This window comes from Homo sapiens, chromosome 14, assembly GCF_000001405.40.
Source record: "Homo sapiens chromosome 14, GRCh38.p14 Primary Assembly".
Lineage (NCBI taxonomy): Eukaryota > Metazoa > Chordata > Mammalia > Primates > Hominidae > Homo > Homo sapiens.
The window spans coordinates 63327995-63348481 of NC_000014.9; the positions used below are offsets into that span (position 1 = coordinate 63327995).

Genomic DNA, 20487 nt, shown 5'->3' on the forward strand with positions numbered 1-20487 from the left:
CCCTATCTGATATCCTACCTCCACCACACACACACAGTCCTGTGGTTCTATCTCCCAAATGCCTTGTGACTGACCCAGCCTTCCTAATTCAGAGCCCTTGAAGACACCTCTTACTGATGCCTCTCCTCTGCCTTCACACTTACCCTTTCATCTCCCCAACTCCTGCCTCTGCTTTGCCTCTGCTCATTGTCTAGCACTTGGCTTAGCTGCTGCTTCCTTCTGGAAGCCCGCCCTGATCCTGATCCTCCAAGTCTGAGGTTGGCACCCAGGCCATGTGCTCTCATCAAGTACCTCCCCTACAGCAGTTCCTTTCACACTGCATCATCAGTGATAGTTCATTTGTCTCTAGCCCCTATCAGACCATTAGCTCCAAGTACCTATGCCCGCCATGACTCTCCTGCCCACTCTTACATCCTCCATGCCTGCACACAGTAGCCAATAAACACTTAAGGAAACAACTGACTAAATGATTGTGGAGAACACTAAATACCACTTATTCTCATTTTCTCCTGACTCATATCTTTGTCAGTCTCCGTTAAAGTTTGGCAAATATTTCCAGAACAGCAAATAGTCAATCCAAAAAGACTTCCCTTCCCATATCTAAATGAGAACTCAGTGGGCCAGTGCAGATGCCATCATGAAACACCAAGAGCTTTGTGTTGGTGCAGTGTGGGACCCACACAAGGGGGTGTGAGCTTACCCAAGCAACAAGTGGTCCTGGAAGCATTAGGTTCAGGCAGCTGGGTCAGCACCACTCCCTATTATCTTCTTTCCCATCACAGGACATTAAACCTGATCACTTTCACCCCACACCAATTTGAACCAATTCCTCCTTGTGAAGGGTCAGTGTACACATCTGCTTCTTGGCATTTTGCTCTGTTTGGCTGGGTGTTATGACATTAACTTCAATTACTTCAGGGAGAAAAAAACATTTTCCCTCTCTGCAGCTTGAAATATCTCATCAAAGAAATGTGGAGAGTATGGAAATTAGATTTGATTGACAGCCAGCTATTTGCTTCCATCACTTCTGCCATTCTGTAGCTTTCTTTGGATAAAGGAGTTTGGGCTCTTCTGACAGCCCAGTGGGCAACAACCTCATTTTAATAATCCTCTCCCCTCAGGGGAAAAAGTAAAGACGGAAACTTCATAATGAAATTACTGTGCCTCAAAGATGTAGTAACTAGATTCTTCCTTTTTGCATTGTTCATGTCCGGGGCTCTGGAAACAAGATACACATTTCAGGCATGCCTAACACTTATTAATGCTCTATTTTCTGAACTGCCTTGAAGATAGATAAGGCCTTCAGCAGGCTAGGCCAAGAACATCAAGTTTTAGAAATACTATTGAAACACACACACACACTCAGTTCAACTCCATTCATCACATAAAATTATGGATCTAATTTCTCAGTTGAAAAAATTAAAAGACCCTTTTATTTTTAGACTCCCATGTAATCTTTTTTTCCCCCAGTATTATGATAGGATTGGCTGAGGTCGAGGTGATTATCTTCCATTCTCACTTCTCCGTGGCAGGCAAGACGGAAAAGCCTGGGCAGGATACATGTGGCCTCTGTCTCTCTACTCCACGCTCCCACCCTGAGTCTCTTATCTGAGTGGTGAGATTGGAAAATAAACATGGTGACTCAACATTTTGGAGATTTTAAAATTCAGGAAGATTTATCTCTTAGGATGGTTTTGGCTGCAAGTTACAGGTACAAGCCACTGAGGGGGCATAAACTTACTTTAGTTTAAGTAACAAGAAGCCCAGAGTCAGGGAGATCTGCCATTGGTGTTGCTGCTCTACAATGTCATAAAGGACCCAGATGCTTTCCTTTTTTCTGTTCTGCCATCCTCAGCATGTTGACATGCCTCCCCACCTCCAGCCTTAGTGTCCTGAAACAGCAACAGCTAAAGCAAAAAGGAAGGGAATCAAGAGAGGAAGGTATCTTGTTCCAAGCGTCTCTCTTTCAAAAGAGGAAAAGTCTTATAGAAGTTTCCTGCAGATTTCCTCCTTAATCACATGATCTAGATATCAAGGAAGGCTGAGAATAACGGTATCAGGCATTTTCAGCCTCTATAGTTGGAGACCAGCTCTGCTGGAAAGGGATAAAAGCAAGGAATAGCTGTAGGGTAGATAACCACCAGTGTCTGTCAAATGTGTAGCTTCAATTCAGGGCAAAGGTCATTTGACTACATATCAAGCTATACTCTCATTTAACTTCGTTCAATAAGAAAGCCAATATTTTTATCTCCTCCTGTCAGATTCTTGCATCTTATTTTTCTATTAGTTCCAAGCTCAGAGCAAAGAAAGGAACATAATTACTTATTACCTCTGAACACTAACAATTACTGCCAGGAGCATTGTTGACTGTAGGAAAAGCAACCACCACCCATTTTTGGGCCACAATTTCTTTATCTGAAAAGCAAGGGGGCTGGATGAAAGCATCTTTAACGCCCTTTCCAGCCCTGACGGTTTATGATCCCATGACTGTGCATTCAAATGCCTCCATGCAGTGAATCAAATCATAAGCACCCTTAAAAAATGTTATGAAAGGAAGAAATTTGACTGACATCGACTCGCATTGGCCTTAGGGAATCAAAACTTTGAAGCCAGTGTCAGTTTAATAAAAATATGAACTTACGAATGTGCCCCAGCCATGTTATTGAAAATAGCCATGTAATAGGCTTACAAGACTTTAGGAAAATTGCTGCTACCTTAAGAATGAGTTGTATAAGGCAAGCAGAATGACAAGGCACTAAAATGGATCTCTCCTTCATCAATTTCATTAAGCAATCATTAAGAGACCAACGACCTGTCTTGTAGTGCCACCATCTTCAAGATGTTACCTATAAAACCACGACGGAAGGGAAAAAGGGAGCCTGGAGAATTGTGTAAACCTGAAAGTGGGTACATCATTTTCACCCACACTACACTGGCCGTAACTAAGTCTTATGGCCCTGACCTAACTGCAAGTAAGGCTAGGGAATAAAGTTGTCCTGTCTACCCAAGAAGATGAAATAAATTGGTGAACACACAATTATTGTTCCCACCATAGCTTCTTCACATTTCTATGGAGCAATGCCTTCAAATTCTAATGAAAATGATTTTTATCTCCAAATTCTATACCCAACCAAACCTTCAGTCAAGCATGAGAGTAGAATAAAAAAAAATACAGACATGAGAGATCTCAAAAATTGTATACTCCACACACCCTTTCTCAGGAAGCTACCACATAATGTAAACAAGGAAGTATATAAAAGAAGAAGCAACTATCTAACATAGGAATCAGGGACCCAATGCAGAAAAGAGTTGAAGTCCCGAAATAATAGCTGTATAGTAGGTCTAAAGAGCAGCAAATCTAAACCGGAGCAGCAGGGTAACTGCATTTGAAGGATGGAGAAAGGGGAAATGGGCTGGTGACCTATTCTATCACCAGGTCTTAGCTTATGCTGCTCGCTCATGTTCCATAATAGGAAGTCAACAAATAAAGCCTAAAATTTATAAATTGATAAATAGCAGTACAGGCATATTACTTATAAATGGAGAAGTAAATTCCAAAAGAAACAGCCAAAAAGAGTTGAAAATGGTTGCCCCAGGATAGCTGTACCTGGAGGAGAGGGGAAGGTTGAGCAAGAGAATGCCATTTTTTATTGTAACTCTTGGTATAGTATTTGACTTTTTAACCATGTAATATATTTTTGTGCTAAAAGATTTGACATGTTTTTAAGTAAAGATGAGAGAGGGAGATAGAAGTTTTTATAATCTTGAGAAGAGGGAGGATTGTGGCAGACAGGAGGCAGGACTAGATTGCAGTTCCTACTCAGACAGAGCATCATGTGGAGTCTTGCGTCATAAACTTTTACTCTAGAACTACTGCAGGAATATATCAGGAAAGCTGAGAGAACCCACAGGCCCTCTGAAGGAAGTGTATTGCTCCTGCAGGACCCAAGAGACACCCCAAATACTGTGAGTGTCCAAACTGTGGAAATGGGAAAGGGGGATCGTCCACCCCCAAACACACACCCTCACTGGGGAATCCGAAGGCCTAGATTATGGGAGAAGATTCTGACCTTACCTAGAGCTGAGTCAATTTAGAGAGCCCAGTGAAATACATGGGTAGAGGAAGCAGCGGGAAAAGCCCGGTGAGCTCTCTGGATCCTCTAGGAAGCAATTTCTGCCTTGCCTCACAGGAGTACTTGGGGAGGGCTGCCAGAGGCACTGGGAAAAGGCCACAGGGAGAAGGAAACCTCCACCTGAACTTTGTAGCAATTCCAACCAAACGAGAAGTCTCCTGGCCAGAACTCGGGGGTGGGCTTGAATCCAGGGTACAGACTCCACAGGCAGGGAAGGACGAGAGCCCTACTTGCTTTTGCGCTGGGAGGCGGGTAGCCTGGGGCAAGTTCTCAGCCCTGCTCACCCACTGCCTGGAAACAGACTCCGTGCTGTTGCAAGGGGCACGGTGGGAGTGAGATCGGCCTTTTGGATTGCATGGGAGCTGGGTGAGGCCTGTGGCTGCCATCTTTCCCCAACTTCCCTGACAACCTGCATGACACAGCAGAGGTAGCCATAATCCTCCTGGGAACATAACTCCATTGACCTGGGAACCACACCAGCCTCAGCAAGACCCACCCAAGGAGAGTTTGAGCTCAGACACGCCTAGCCCTGCCCCCACCTGATGGTCCTTCCCTACCCACTCTGGTAGCTGAAGACAAAGGGCATAAATTCTTGGGAGTTTTAGGGCCCTGCCCACCACCTGACCCTCCCCATACTACCACAGCTGATACTCTCTTGAAAGCACCACCTTCTGGCAGGAGGCCAACCAGCACAAAAATAGTGCATCAAACAACCAAAACTAAAGACCCTCACAGAGTCCATTTCATCCCTCTGCCACCTCCACAAGAGCAGGTGCTCATATCCACAGCTGAGAGACCCACAGATGGTTCACATCACAGGGCTCTGTGCAGACAACCCACAGTACCAATCCAGAGCCTAGCAGACATGCTAGTGGCTCAATCCAGAAGAGAGATAGCAATCACTACAGCTTGGCTCTCAGGAAGACACATCCCTAGGAAAACTGGGAGAATACTACATCAAGGGAACACCCTGTAGGACGAAAGAATCTGAACAACAGCCTTCAGCCCTAGACCTTCCCTCTGACAGAGTCTACCCAAATGAGAAGGAACCAGAAAACCAACTCTGGTAACATGACAAAACAAGGTTCTTTAACACCCCCAAAAAATCATGCTAGCTCACCAGCAATGGATCCATACCAAGAAAAAAATCTCTGATTTATCTGAAAAAGAATTCAGAAGGTCAGTTATTAAGCTAATCAAGGAGGCACCAGAGAAAAGTGACACCCAACTTAAGGAAATAAAAAAAAAATGATACATGAGGAGAGAAATCTTCAGTGAAATAGATAGCATAAATAAAAAACAATCAAAACTTCAGGAAACAATAGACGCACTTATAGAAATGCAAAAAAAAAATGCTTTGGAAAGTCTCAGCAATAGAATTGAACAAGCAGAAGAAAGAACCACAGAGCTCAAAGACAAGGTTTTTGAATTAACCCAGTCCAACAAAGACAAAGAAAAATGAACACAAAAATAAGAACAAAGCCTCCAAGAAGTCTGGGATTATGTTAATGACCAAACCTAAGACTAACTGGTGCTCCTTAGGAAGAAGAGAAATCTAAAAGTTTGGAAAACATATTTGGGAGAATAATTGAGGAAAACTTCCCCAGCCTTGCTAGAGACCTAGACACCCAAATACAAGAAGCTCAAAGAACACCTGGGAAATTCATTGCAAAAAGATCATCACCTATGCACATACTCATCAGTTTATCTAAAGTCAAAACAAAGGAAAGAATGTTAAGAGCTGTGGGGCAAAAGCATCAGGTAACCTATAAAGGAAAACCTATCAGATTAACAGCAGATTTCTTAGCAGAAACCCTACAAGCTAGAAGAGACCGGGGACCTATCTTCAGCCTCCTTAAAACAAAACAATTATCAGCCAAAAATCTTGTATGCAGTGAAATTAAGCTTCATAAATGAAAGAAAGATACAGTCTTTTTCAGACAAACAAATGCTGAGAGAATTCCCCACTACCAAGCCATCACTACAAGAATTGCTAAAGGAGCTCTAAATCTTGAAACGAATCCTGGAAACACATCAAAACAGAACCTCTTTAAAGCATAAATCACACAGGACCTATAAAACAAAAATACAATTAAAGAAAAAAAAAGGTATACAGGCAACAAGTAGCATGATGAATGGAATAGTACCTCACATCTCTATACTAACATTGAATGTAAATGGCCTAAATGCTCCACTTAAAAGATGCGGAATGGCAGAATGGATAAGAATTCACCAACCAACTATCTGCTGCTTTTGAGAGACTCACCTAACACATAAGAACTCACATAAACTTAAGGTAAAGGGGTGGAAAAATACATTCCATGCAAATGGACACCAAAAGTGAGCAGGAGTAGCTATTCTTAGATAAAACAAACTTTAAAGCAACAGCAGTTAAAAGAGACAAAGAGGGACGTTATATAATTATAAAAGGACTAGTCCAACTTTGTGAGCCAAGGTGGGCGGATCACGAGGTCAGGAGATTGAGACCATCCTGACTGACACGGTGAAACACTGTCTCTACTAAAAAAAATACAAAAAATTAGCTGGCCATGGTGGTGGGCGCCTGTAGTCCCAGCTACTTGTGAGGCTGAGGCAGGAGAATGGCATGAACCTGGGAGGCAGAGCTTGCAGTGAGCCGAGATCGTGCCACTGCACTCCAGCCTGGGCAACAGAGCAAGACTCTGTCTCAAAAAAAAAAAAAAGAAGGACTAGTCCAACAGGAAAATATTACAATCTTAAATATATATGTACCTAACACTGGAGCTCCCAAATTTATAAAACAATTATTACTAGGCCTAAGAAGTGAGAGAGAGAGCAACACAATAAAGTGGGGGACTTCAATACTCCACTGACAGCACTAGACAGGCCATCAAGACAGAAAGTCAACAAAGAAACAATGGATTTAAACTAAAACCTAAAACAAATTGACTTAACAGATATTTAATATTTACAGAACATTCTACCCAACAACTGCAGAATATACATTCTATTCATCAGTACATGAAACATTCTCCAAGATAGAACAAACAATAGACCACAAAACAAGCCTCAATAAGTTTAAGAAAATTGAAATTATATCAAGCACTCTCTCAGACCTCACAGGAATAAAACTGGAAATCATTTCCAAAAGGAACCTTCAAAACCATGCAAATCCATGGAAATTAAATAACCTGCTCCTGAATGATCAATGAGTGAACAGTGAAATCAAGATGGAAATTTAAAAATTCTTCAAACTGAATGACAATAGTGATACAACCTATCAAAACCTCTGAGATACAGCAAAGGCAGTGCTAAGAGGAAAGTTCAAAGCCCTAAATCCTATATCAAAAAGTCTGAAAGGGCATAAACAGAAAATCTAAGGTCATATGTCAAGGAACTAGAGCAAAAAGAACAAACCAAACCCAAACCCAGCAGAAGAAAGTAAATAACCAAGATCAGAACAGAACTAAATGAAATTTAAACAAAAAAAATACAAACATAAATTTAAAAGCTCATTCTTTGAAAAGATAAATAAAATTGAGAGACAAGATTAACCAAGAAGAGAAGAGAGAAAATCCATATAAGCTCAATTAGAAACAAAATGGGAGATATTACAACTGACACCACAGAAATACAAAAGATCACTCAAGGCTACTATGAACACCTTTATGCACATAAAACTAGATAACCTAGAGAAGATGGATAAATTCCTGGAAAGACACAACCCTCCTGGCTTAAATCAGGAAGAATTAGATACGCTGAACAGACCAATAGCAAGCAGCAAGATTGAAGTGGTAATTTAAAAATGGCCAACAAAAAAATGCCAGGCCAGACAGATTCACAGCAAAATCCTACCAGACATTCAAAGAATAATTGGTACCAAACCTACTGACACTATTCCACAAGATAGAGAAAGAGGGAATCCTCTCTAAATCATTCTATGAAGCCACTATCACCCTAATACCAAAACCAGGAAAGTACATAACCAGAAAAGAAAACTATAAACCAATATCCCTGATGAACATAGATGCAAAAATCCCTAACAAAATACTAGCTAACTGAATCCAACAACATATCAAAAACATAATCTATCATGATCAAGTGGGCTTCATACCGGAGATGTGGGGATGGTTTAATATGCAAGTCAATAAATGTGATACACCACTTAAACATAATTAAAACAAAAATCACATGATTATCTCAATAGATGCGGAAAAAGTATTCAACAAAATCCAGCATCCCTTTATGATTAAAACTCTCAGCATAATCAGCATACAAGGGACATACCTCAATGTAATGAAAGCAATCTATGACAAACCCACAGCCAACATAATACTGAATAGAGAAAAATTGAAAGCATTCCCTCTGAGAACTGGAACAAGACAAGGATACCTACTCTCACCACTTCTCTTCAACACAGCACTGGAATTCCTAGCCAGGGCAGTCAGACAAAATAAAGAAATAAAGGGCATCCAAATCGGTAAAGAGGAAGTCAAGCTGTTGCTATTTGCTGATATGATTGTATATCTAGAAAACCCTAAAGACTTCTCCAAAAAGCTCCTAGAACTGATAAGAGAATTCAGCAAAGTTTCCAGATGCAAAATTAACGTACACAAATCGGTAGCTCTCCTATACACCAACAGCAACCAAGCTGAGAATCAAATCAGAACTCAATCTCTTTTACAATAGCTGCAAAAAAAACAAAAAACAAAAAACAAACAACAAAAAAAAACTTAGGAATATACCTAACCAAGGAGGTGAAAGATGAAAGACCTCTACAAGGAAAACTACAAAACACTGCTGAAAGAAATCATAGATGACACAAACAAATGGAAACACATCCCATGTTCATGGATGGGTAGAATAAATATCATGAAAATCACCATACTGCCAAAAGCAATCTACAAATTCAATGCAATTCCCATCAAAATGCCACCACCATTCTTCACAGAACTAGCAAAACAATCCTAAAATTCATATGGAACCAAAAAAGAGCCCACATAGCTGAAGGAAGACTAAGCAAAAAGAACAAATCTGGAGGCATCATATTACCTGATTTCAAACTATACTATAAGGCCATAGTCACCAAAACAGCATGGTACTGGTACAAAAATAGGTATATACACCAATGGAATAGAATAGAGAACCCAGAAATAAACCCAAATACTTACAGCACCAACTGATCTTTGACAAAGCAAACAAAAACATAAAGTGGGGAAAGGACACCCTATTCAACAAATGGTGCTGGCATAACTGGCAAGCCACATGTAGGAGAATGAAACCAGATCCTCATCTCTCACCTTATACAAAAATCAACACAAGGTAGATATAGGAACTAAACCTAAGACCTGAAACTATAAAAATTCTGGAAGATAACATCAGAAACCCCCTTCTAGATATTGGCTTAGGCAAAGATTTCATGACCAAGAGGCTAAAAGCAAATGCAGTAAAAACAAAGATTAATAGCTGGGACTTATTTAAACTAAAGAGCTTTTGCATGGCAAAAGGAACAGTCAGCAGAGTAAACATACAACCCACAGAGTAGGAGAAAATCTTCACAATCTACACATCTGACAAAGGACTAATCTTCAGAATCTATAATGAACTCAAACCAATTAGCAAGAGAAAAACAAACAATCCCATCAAAAAGTGGGCTAAGGACAGGAATAAGCAATTCTCAAAAGAAGACATACAAATGGCCAACAAACATATGAAAAAATGCTCAACATCACTAATGATCAGGGAAATGCAAATCAAAACCACAATGCGATACCACCTTACTCCTGCAAGAATGGCCATAATCAAAAAATCAAAAAATAACAGATGCTGGCATGGATGCAGTGAACAGGGAACACTTTTACACTGCTGGTGGGAATGTAAACTAATACAATCATTATGGAAAACAGTGTGGAGATTCCTTAAAGAACTAAAAGTAGAACTACCATTGGATCCAGCAATCCCACTACTGGGTATCTACCCAGAGGAAAAGAAGTCATTATGCAAAAAAGATGCTTGCACACACATATTTATAGCAGTACAATTCGCAATTGCAAAAATGTGAAACAAACCCAAATGCACATCAGTCAACAAGTGGATAAACTGTGGTATATATATAAGATGGACTACTACTCAGCCATAAAAAGGAATGAATTAATGGCATTCCTAGCAACCAGGATGAGATTGGAGACTATTCTTCTAAGTGAAGTAACTCAGGAATGGAAAACCAAACATCATATATTCTCACTCATAAGTGGGAGCTAAGCTATGAGGATGCAAGGGCATAAGAATGATGCAATGGACTTTAGGAACTTAGGGAGAAAGGATGGGAAGGGGGTGAGGGATAAAAGACTACAAATTGGGTGCAGTGTATACGCTTGGGTGATGGGTGCACCAAAATCTCACACATCACCGCTAAAGAACTTATGTAACCAAATACCACCTGGTCCCCTATAACCTATGGAAATAAAAAATTTAAAAATAAGTAAATAAATAAGTTTTTATAATCTTTTCCTTTATTGTACCCAAAGGTCTCACCTAGGCCCTTATCATGTCCTCAGAAGGTCAAGGAGAGAAAAAGGAAACAAAGTAAATGTGCACATATATAACACCTTTTTTGAACCCCAAGCAGAATATTTTCTCCTTCATCCAATTAAAAAAAAAAAAAAAAAAAAACAAAACTTGCCAATGGCCCCCCTTCCTGAAGAATTTCAAGGGGAAAAGGGAAAGGGCTGGTCACAATAGATCTGGCCTGAATTTGTCTGTTCTCATACTGATATAAAGAAATACCTAAGTCCGGGTAATTCATAAAGAAAAGAGGTTTAATTGGCTCATGGTTCCACAGGCTGTACAGGAAGCATGGCTGGGGAGGACTTAGGAAACTTACAATCATGGTAGAAGGTGAAGGGGAAGCAGGCACATCTTACATGGCTGGAGCAAGAGGAAGAGAGAGAGGAGGGAAGTGTCTCACACTTTTAAACAACCAGATATCATGAGAACTCTATCACAAGAATAGCACCTGGGGGCCGGACACGGTGGCTCACACCTGTAATCCCAGCACTTTGGGAGGCCAAGGTGGGCAGATCACCTGAGGTCGGGAGTTCGAGATCAACCTGACCAACATGGAGAAACCTCATGTCTACTAAAAATACAAAATTAGCTGGGCACGGTGGCGCATGCCTGTAATCCCAGCTACTTGGGAGGCTGAGGCTGGATAATTGCTTGAATCTGGGAGGCGGAGGTTGTGGTGAACCGAGATGGCGCCATTGCACTCCAGCCTGGGTGACGAGTGAAACTCTGTTTCAAAAAAAAAGAATAGCACCTGTGGGAAAATCCACCCCCATGATCCGATTACCTCCCACCAGGTCCAACTTCCAACATAGGGGATTACAATTCGACATGAGATTTGGGTGGGGACACAAATCCAAACCATATCAGGGCCACAGACAGAGCCCCTGGAGTATCAGTAGTGACCCCATGTACGTTGGCCCTCTCCTCCATTGTGCCAAAAAAAGATATAAGGTATTTTACACATTTTTCTGAAATCAAGAGGCACTATATCCTTATCTAATGGCTTCATAAACCTCTCAAAAAATTTTTTTTGTTCCAGCACAGTGGCTAATACTTGTAATCCCAGCCCTTTGGGAGGCCAAGGTGGGAGCATCACTTCAGCCCAGGGGTTTAAGACCAGCCTAAGCAACATAGTGAGACCTTATCTCTACAAAAGATTAAAACATTAGGTAGTGCATGCCTGTGGTCCCAGCCTACTAGGAAGGCTGTGATGGGAGGATCACTTGTGCCTGGGAGGTTGAGGCCACAGTGAACTGTGATCACACCACTGCACTCCAGTCTGGGTGACAGGGCAAAACTCTGTCTCTTTTTTTTTTTTTTTTTTTTTAGTTTGACATGATGTTTTGGTGAGCTCATGTTGACTGCCAATGAATATTGCCTTCCTAAGTAATATATACCTTTCAGGCTTACCTTTGTAATTTCAACAACTCATCTTCTGATTTTTTTTTTAATTTGGGCAACATTCATTGATCTCTTGGCACTACTGCTGCCCTCCATGATTTTGAAAGTTCACAAAAATAGTTTTGTTGTCATTTCTATAAGATCTATTAGAATATAATTTGCTAGGTCCTAGATTCTTGACCATATTCATTGAATGAGGGTTTAATTGCCTCTTTCAGCAACATTCATCCTATAGTCATCTGTCGAGCACCATTCCAGGTTCTGGGATAGAGATGTAAAACATACTAAAAGTCCCTATCATTCAGTAGCTCTTTGTCTAAAGAAACAGCTGAAAAATAAGCCAACAATTACAACAATTTTAAATGCCATAACAGAGATTTGTGTAGGGAGCTACGGGTTAGAAGGGCACTTAAACAAGCCTGGAGGGGGCAGAGAAAGCTTTCCGGGATGAAATGTCCTCTGAGCATGTGAAGAGCTGGGAAGTAAATATGCCAAGAGAAAGAAAAGGGCATTCTGCACACACTTAAAGGCTCAGAATTAAGGGATAACTCAGAAAGTTCAGGAACTGAAAGTCATTTGGCCACAGGGAGAAGTAATAGGAGAGGAAGGGCACATCAAAGGTGAGCAGGGTCCGGTTCTGCTGGGAAGACACTAAGGATCTTATTCAGAGGAGTGAAATGATCAGATAGGAGTTTTATTTATTTATTTATTTATTTATTTATTTAGAGACAGAGTCTCACACTGTTGCCCAGGCTGGAGTGCAATGGCGTGATCTCGGCTCACTGCAACTTCTGCCTCCTGGGTTCAAGTGATTCTCCTGCCTCAGCCTCCCGAATAGCTAGGATTACAGGTGCCTGCCACCATGCCTGGCTTATTTTTTGTATTTTTAGTAGAGACTGGGTTTCACTATGTTGGCCAGGCTGGTCTTGAACTCCTGACCTCATGATCCACCTGCCTCGGCCTCCCAAAGTGCTGGGATTACAGGCATGAGCCACTGCACCTGGCCTTCAGATAGGAGTTTTAAACAAATCCTTCCAATCCTGAAAACTAAAGTGTGTGTGTGATAGGAATCAGAAGGTGAGATTCAGACTCAGTGACCAGACATGAGACCACTGAGTTAATGAGGGGAGAAATCCTGAGAAGACAATGGAACTGTGGATAAAAGAGGAGAGAGACCAGACACCGCGACTCAGGCCTATAATCCCAGCACTTTGGGAGGCTGAGGCAGGTGGACTGCATGAGCCCAGGAGTTCAAGACCAGCCTGGGCAACATAGTGAGACCCCATCTCTACAAAAAATACAAAAATTAGTCAGGTATGGTGGCACATGCCTGTAGTCCCAGCTACTTGGGAAGCTGAGGCAGAGGTGAGAGGACTGCTTGAGCCCAGGAGTTTGAGGCTGTAGTGAGTCATGACCATGCCACTGCATTCCAGCCTGGGCAACATAGCGAGACCCTGTCTCAAAAAAAAAAAAAAAAAAAAAAAGGAGAAAGAGCAATCAAAATCTATCTGGGAGGTTGACACTTGACAGGATCTAGTTACAAAAGGATGATGGAGGAGGACACATCTCCAGTGGCTTGTCTGGCTTTGCTGATGGGATAGACGGTTGTACTATTGACCAGCAGGGGAGTTTGGGGGAAGAGGTTTGGGAGCAGGTGAGTGCACTCTGTTGACTTTGAAAGATTTGCCGGACAGTACAGCAGAGATTACTCACAGGTAGAAAAGTAGGTCTGCACTCCAAAAAGAGGTTGGGGCAAGAAAGAAAACAACTGTTTTGTTTGCACACTGGGGTGGTAGAAATGGTTTGGGATGAACAAGATCTTCCAGGAATTATGTGGAGTAAAGAAAAGGGGCAAAAAGTCGAATACAGAGCCTTGTAGCTTAGTACCTACTAATTTAGACCCAAGTGTTTATCTCCTCAGGGATCCCACAGCGCCTTGACCTAACAATCACCATTTTTAAGTTCATGAAATTTTTTTTTCACATTAAACACAATTAACTTAAAGCTAGGGACAGAATCTTGATTTAGTATTCCCAGGATCAAATACACAACTAAGAATGTCTACATGTTCAATAAATATTTATTAAACAATGGTATATTCATATACAAGAGGGAGAGAAATAGCAACTCTGACATGCTTCTGTTTCAAAAAATTACCAGTTTTTAGCATGTCACTCAAAACCAACTTTTATCTAAGAACCCACTCCTTTCCCCTCTCTGTCCCCTCTTTCACTTTACTCACTTCAGAGCACAAATCTGGTTTCCAGACTCTACCACTTGCTTCCTTGCCTCACTATGAAGAGTATTTTATATTTCTGAATGTCCCCAGTTCACTTTTAAAACTAAAAACCATAGAAATAGTCTTGACTGACTTCTGCTTTCCAATTATCCTTCTCCGAGTCCCTGGCAAGGCGGGTGAGATCAGCCTCCTGGCTGGAGACGCCACCAATGTGAGCATCGCAGCTTGAGAAAAAGAGAGCTCGATTATTCTATGGGAGGCTTTTGCAATCAGAACCTCTCCCTGGGGACAGTTTATTGACATTGGAAATTCGTCATGGTTACAAAGCACTTTGATTTCACAAAAATAAGACTGTCTTCTCTGCTAAGGTGGCAAGTCGTGTTTTGCTTTTTATGAATTAACTAGGCAAGAACCACAAGTGCAATGCTGAAGAGCCAAGATTTCTCTCCCCTCCCTAAGCCAGCTACCTAAATACTCAGAAGACAGTGATCTGTGTACATAGTCACAAAATCAGGAGAGTCAGTGAGGAAGTAAAGATGGAAAGCATTTTATCTTTAAAAGGTAGCTCTTTCATCTTTAAAAGGGCAGGCTCTTGCCTATAGAATCTCATGTTCCCAGCCATTGTGTCTTGCTTGGTAACAAACTGGAAGCAAATACAGTTAAGGCACTGTGCTTAGTCTATTATAAGAACTCAATCAACATTAACTAAAGAGCAAAACAAAAACAAAAGGTGACAACGTCTGAGTTCTGGGAGTTAGCTTTAGTTAGTACAACGCAGCCAATAGTTGGGAGTGGGAACCCATTCAGAGCTCAGGCCTAACTCTTTCTACACCTGGGAAATGAGAGTAACAAAATCAACTCCCTAGGCTCAACGGGATGGGCAGCATTTAAAGGAAAGTTCTCCTCTTCCTTTCCCCACCCTTGAGACGGGACTAGAAGATGTTTATGGTGCCATTTTATACCTAATAACAGAAAAATATATTAAAATAACACCCAATACTGACAATGATGTTATGCAAATAATGTACCCAAATTCTACAACCCACGCAAATTGACACAAATCTTATGGAAAATACTTTGCCCATATGTGTCAAAGGTCATAGAAAGTTTTCTACCTTCCCATTCCTGGCAATTTATCTTAAAGGAAAAGAATTTAAATGAGAATACAATATATGCAAAATATATTTACTACAGCATTATTTTATAAAAATAGCAACAGAAAACATCCTACTCACACAAGGATAGGAAAATATTAAAGTATGCTCCATCTACACAATGGAATAATACCTATCCATTAAAATTATTATAAAGACTACAGCATGTGGAAAAACATTTGACATTAGGTTAAGGAGGAAAATCAGAATACAGAACTATACATAATAAATGCTAGAGCTACACCTGTTTAACAATTATGCAAGCCTATGGACATAACTGGAAAGTCATAAATTATAATTAATTTTTTAAGGTGAGTGGATTGTGTTTGCCATTAAAACTTAATTATTTCAAACCTTCAAGGAAAGAAAATCATGACACTATTTAAACAATCCCAGAGAGGAAAACATCCCAATTCTTTTTACAAAGACACTAATGCAACGACAAAAATAAATTAAGAGAACATCAGAAAAGAAACCTATATTATTTCTCTTATAAGTACCTATGTAAAAATGCTAAAGAAAATGTCAGCAAGTTGAATTCAGCAACATATTAAACAAATAACATACCATGACCAAGTTGGGCTTATTCCAGAAATGCAAGGATGATTCAGTAACAGGAAATCTGTTCATATAATTCTCCATATTAATAGACCCAAGGAGGAAAAACACATGATATCATCTCAACAGAGGCTGCAAAAGCATATGATAAAATAGATGCAACATTTATTTTTGACTTAAAATAATACTTAATTTCTTAGTCCAAAAGGAAAAAATGGGTACTTTCTCAATATCATATGTATATACATACATATATATATGTGTATAGTTATACTGAATTTTGATTATTCAAAACTATAAAAACTCAGCAACAGATGCTTAGTCTGATGAGTCCCTTGGAGACTAAATGGGCACAATGACCATTCAAAGGCTCAAAGCAGGCCCTGCTATTAGAGAGTGGTCTTCCCAGATTCTATCTTCAGCCCGAGTTACTTTACCTCTGTGCTCATTAAGATGCTTTGTGCTACAAACAATACCCATTCTCAACTTTCTCCAGTAGTTAAACAGACAATTCCTAGTCCCTACCCTGGCCTCCAGGGACTCTTATGTTCCCACCACTGCCGCCCTCTTATCACCAGTCTCCACCCGACTCAGCTCTATCAGCCTCCTGGTTTTTCCTAAAATGCACCAAGCACATTCCTGCCTTCGGACTTCTGAATTTGTTTCCCCTGCCAGGAAAGTTCTTTCCTCAGATATTTTAATGGCTCACTCTCTCACTTTATTCACTTCTTTTACCACATTGCCTCAAATAGCATGCCTCTCACACACAGGACCCCCGGCAACACTCCCCATCCCCTTACCCTGCTTTATTCCCTGGCGCTATAGTATAGGTTTATCTGTGTGTTGTTTTCTCTGCTACCATAAAGCCAGCTTCATGAAGGTAAACACTCTGACCATATTGTTCCCTGCTGCATACCTAGTATCTACGCCAGTGCCTGGCACATAGCGGACATATGCTGAATACGTTGTTGAAGCAAGAGAAAGCCTGACTCATATAGGTTTCAAAATTAGGAAATTTGTTGTTTTACATAGCAAAATTTCAGAGGTAGAATAGGCTCAAGGAGAGAGCAAAGCTTGGTCTCTTTCTCCCTGAGATTTTCTCTGTTCCTCCCTCTTTAGCATATCAGCTTTGTCCTCACATGGAGGCACCCTCATGGTCACAACATGGCTGCAGCAGCAACTGGAGCAAGGTACTTTGTCTTTCATGTCCACTGAGAAAGAGCAAAACTCTGACAAGTCATTCCTTTCAGTCTGATTGGTCCCCTTTAGTTCATGTGCCCACCTCTGAACCAATCACTGACGAGCAGGAGGGAATTCCATGACTGGTTCACATGAATCAGGACCCACCTGTAGAGAAGGCTGGTGTCAGCCTCCGCAGCTTCAAGTCATTGCATGAGGAAGGGGCGGGAGGAAGCCTGAAGAAAATCAAAATTGTATGTGGAAGTGAGAAGTAGAGAAAATGGATCCTGGATAGACAATGAACCATGACCACTAAAATCTCTGACTCCAAAGGAACTCCTCAAGCCTAGGGAACTCTTTCTCATGGAGTAACTGGCATCCTGGGATCTTGGAACACAATCCTTGACTTGGGATATTTTTTGAATTAAATACCACTCTTAGATTGGGAGCTGCCTCAGCACCTTTCCTCCTGGGAAAGCCTGAGCTCTGAGAAAAAGAGATAAATACAACTCTTTCTTGAAAGGGAAAAGGAGATAGAAACAATAATAATTCAAAATACATTTCACAGAGAGCAGTTTTTCCAAACTGATATCAAAATACAAAGCATCTACATAGTAAAATATTCCTCCACAGAAATTAAAGGTCATTTAATTCATATTCAGGCAGTGTGAATAAAGGCAGCAATTCAGAGCAGGAGAAAATATTTTGTCAGCACAATGAGCAAGGCTGTAAATTACCGAAAACGTCACCAGCCAGACACTCTAAAGTGTTAAACAAACAGTTTGACTAACAAGTTGCTCTGGGTACATCTCTTGCATTAGGGTGATTTACTAGAGAATAGAGGACAAGGAGACATTCACCAAAAAGCATCTGAAGTCTTGCCTACCCTTTGAACCACGATGCAATATCCTATTTCACCTGCTGCAAAACCACAGACTGACATCTAGTATGTCATTCCTGAAAGGGGTTCAATCATATTGTTACATTGTGACTCCTTCCCTAAAATCCCTACATGACTCTTTCTTTTTAATTATCTGTTGAGGCCTCACTTACTGTACTGAGACATTTTAGGGTGGATATTTCACATGCCTTGAAAATGCTGCTTTTCTCAACGTTAGATACACCTAAACCGGTATATGTTGGCCCCCTTCCCCCAGCCCTCAATGCTGGAGGCTGCATACAACATGTAGCAAAGCAAGCCTTTGGTTTCCAACACAGAAAAGGTAACACTTTGAGCATAACTTTCTTGCTTCTTTCTAATTGTCTTCTTCAAAGGGCTTCTGGTATTCATGTGACATGAGCCCCGACATTATCCAGAATTTATAAGAACTTTCATTAAAAATATCTACCGATTTTGCGATGAATGAGAGGGAATGGTAGGAGATTTGAAGAGGCATGTTATTGTATTACTAACCAAGAAAGTCAATGCAAGTTGCTCCAGAATACACAACCAGCAAGGAACAGAGCTAGGAGCAGATTGTAGGTGCAAGACGCCCAGCCCAGGGATCCTTTTGCTACAACAATGCCCTGAGTAGGTGGCCAACTCCCTTTCTGGTGTGTCTTGCTATAGACCCAGTTGGCGCCCACTCTTATGCTGTGTAGTAAAGCACAGATTTAACTCTGAGGTTCCTTTCATCCAAAGGAAAGTTCTGGTGAAGACTTAAATATCCATAAAGAGATATAAATTAGAGTAAATAGGCCAGGGATAGTGGCTCATGCCTATAATCCCAGCACGTTGGGAGGCCAAGGCAGATGGATCACTTGAGCTCATGAGTTTGAGGCCAGCCTGGGCAACATGGGGAAACCCCATCTCTACAAAAAATACAAAAACTTGCCAGGGATGGAGGCATGCACCCCTGTAATCCCAGCTACTTGGGAGGCTGAGATGGGAGGATCACTTGAGCCACGGAGGTCTAGGCTGCAGTGATCCATGATGGTGCCACTGGACTCGAGCCTGGGTGACAGAGTGAGACCAAGAAAAGAAGAGAAGAGAGAAAATATGGAAGGAAGGAAGGAAGGAAGGAAGGAAGGAAGGAAGGAAGGAAGGAAGGAGGCTAGAGTAAATATAGGTAGAAATACATATGAAATAGTTGCTCCAAAAAAATCACAGCAACTCCTGGTTCTGAGACTTGTGAGAACTTTCACCCACTGTCCCTCACTAAGCATGTGATATAATGAACAGTGGTACCCACACCATCTCCATAGACAGTATCAGATCAAGTTTAGGCTGTCTCAAGTTGCTTCTTATTGAAGGTAAATGGCCTAGTACCAAAACAAGGTTCAGTAAAAGAGCAGATGAGTTTGCCAGAGAGGGACCAAAAAGAAGTTTAGGAAGTATACATCTCTCTAAAATGGAAAGCAAGCCAGAGAGAGGAAAAAAAAATGGACTGGGGGTCTACAGAAGACAAGCAAATGTTTAAAACAGTCACTGAGTGGAATGGAGACAGAGGGGTTTGAGCTGAGTAAATAGGCAGCCAGGCTGCAATAAGGGGTCAGATGAGATGAAATGACACATCTGCAGAGACACCAATTGCCAGGTCTACATGACTTTATTCAGGAGCATCCAGCACCCCAGGCAAGCAAGGGTGCAGAAAGGCAGAAAGCAAAGTAAATTGAGCCAAGATCTCCAGGCCAGCTGAAAGGCAAGAGGCTTGAGAACTCTGTGTCGCCAAAAAGGTGGGTGAGAGAATGAGGCAGGGGTCTGAGCTAAATAGATGAGGAAGGGAGAGAGGAACAGGGAGGGTAGACAGCGCATGGGGTTCTTGCAGCAAGAGCCATGTCACATTTTGAATCTCCAGCACCCAGAATAGTAGATGCCCAATGTATACTGAGTTTATGAATGAATGCGTGAAATGGATAAATGAATTCACACACAATCCTGAATGTATACACACACACACACACACACAGAGAGAGAGAGAGAGAGAGAGAGAGAGAGCCTTATATACTACACTAGAAGACCAGGGTCACCATCAGACAGAGTTCACCATTATTGTTAAATCTGTTCATCCTTGTTACCTCATTTGGGTTCTTCATTGCTTCCCTTGCTACACCTTTCAAGATCTAAAATTTTGACTCAGGCTCTGCATTTTGGGGAACTCAAGCAAAGACAGGGAAGTCTCCTGGGAGACGTCTACAAAAGAATTTCCTCTCCAGTGGAAAGAGATCTGTAAGGAGAAATTCTTCTTCCTCCTTCTTGATGTACTGATATGAGGGCATGGTGCCCGGAGCTGTGGCAGCCATCTTGCAAGCAGGAGGATACAAGCCTGTGAATGAA

General features: G+C 41.2%; 1 annotated feature.

Moving 5' to 3' along the window:
• Positions 4467 to 4966: an enhancer, noted in NCBI's record as "H3K27ac hESC enhancer chr14:63799179-63799678 (GRCh37/hg19 assembly coordinates)". NCBI's record gives its function as "activates a minimal SCP1, AML or CMV promoter by ChIP-STARR-seq in naive H9 embryonic stem cells {active_cell/tissue: H9 hESC(naive)}" and the evidence as "EXISTENCE:reporter gene assay evidence [ECO:0000049][PMID:30033119]".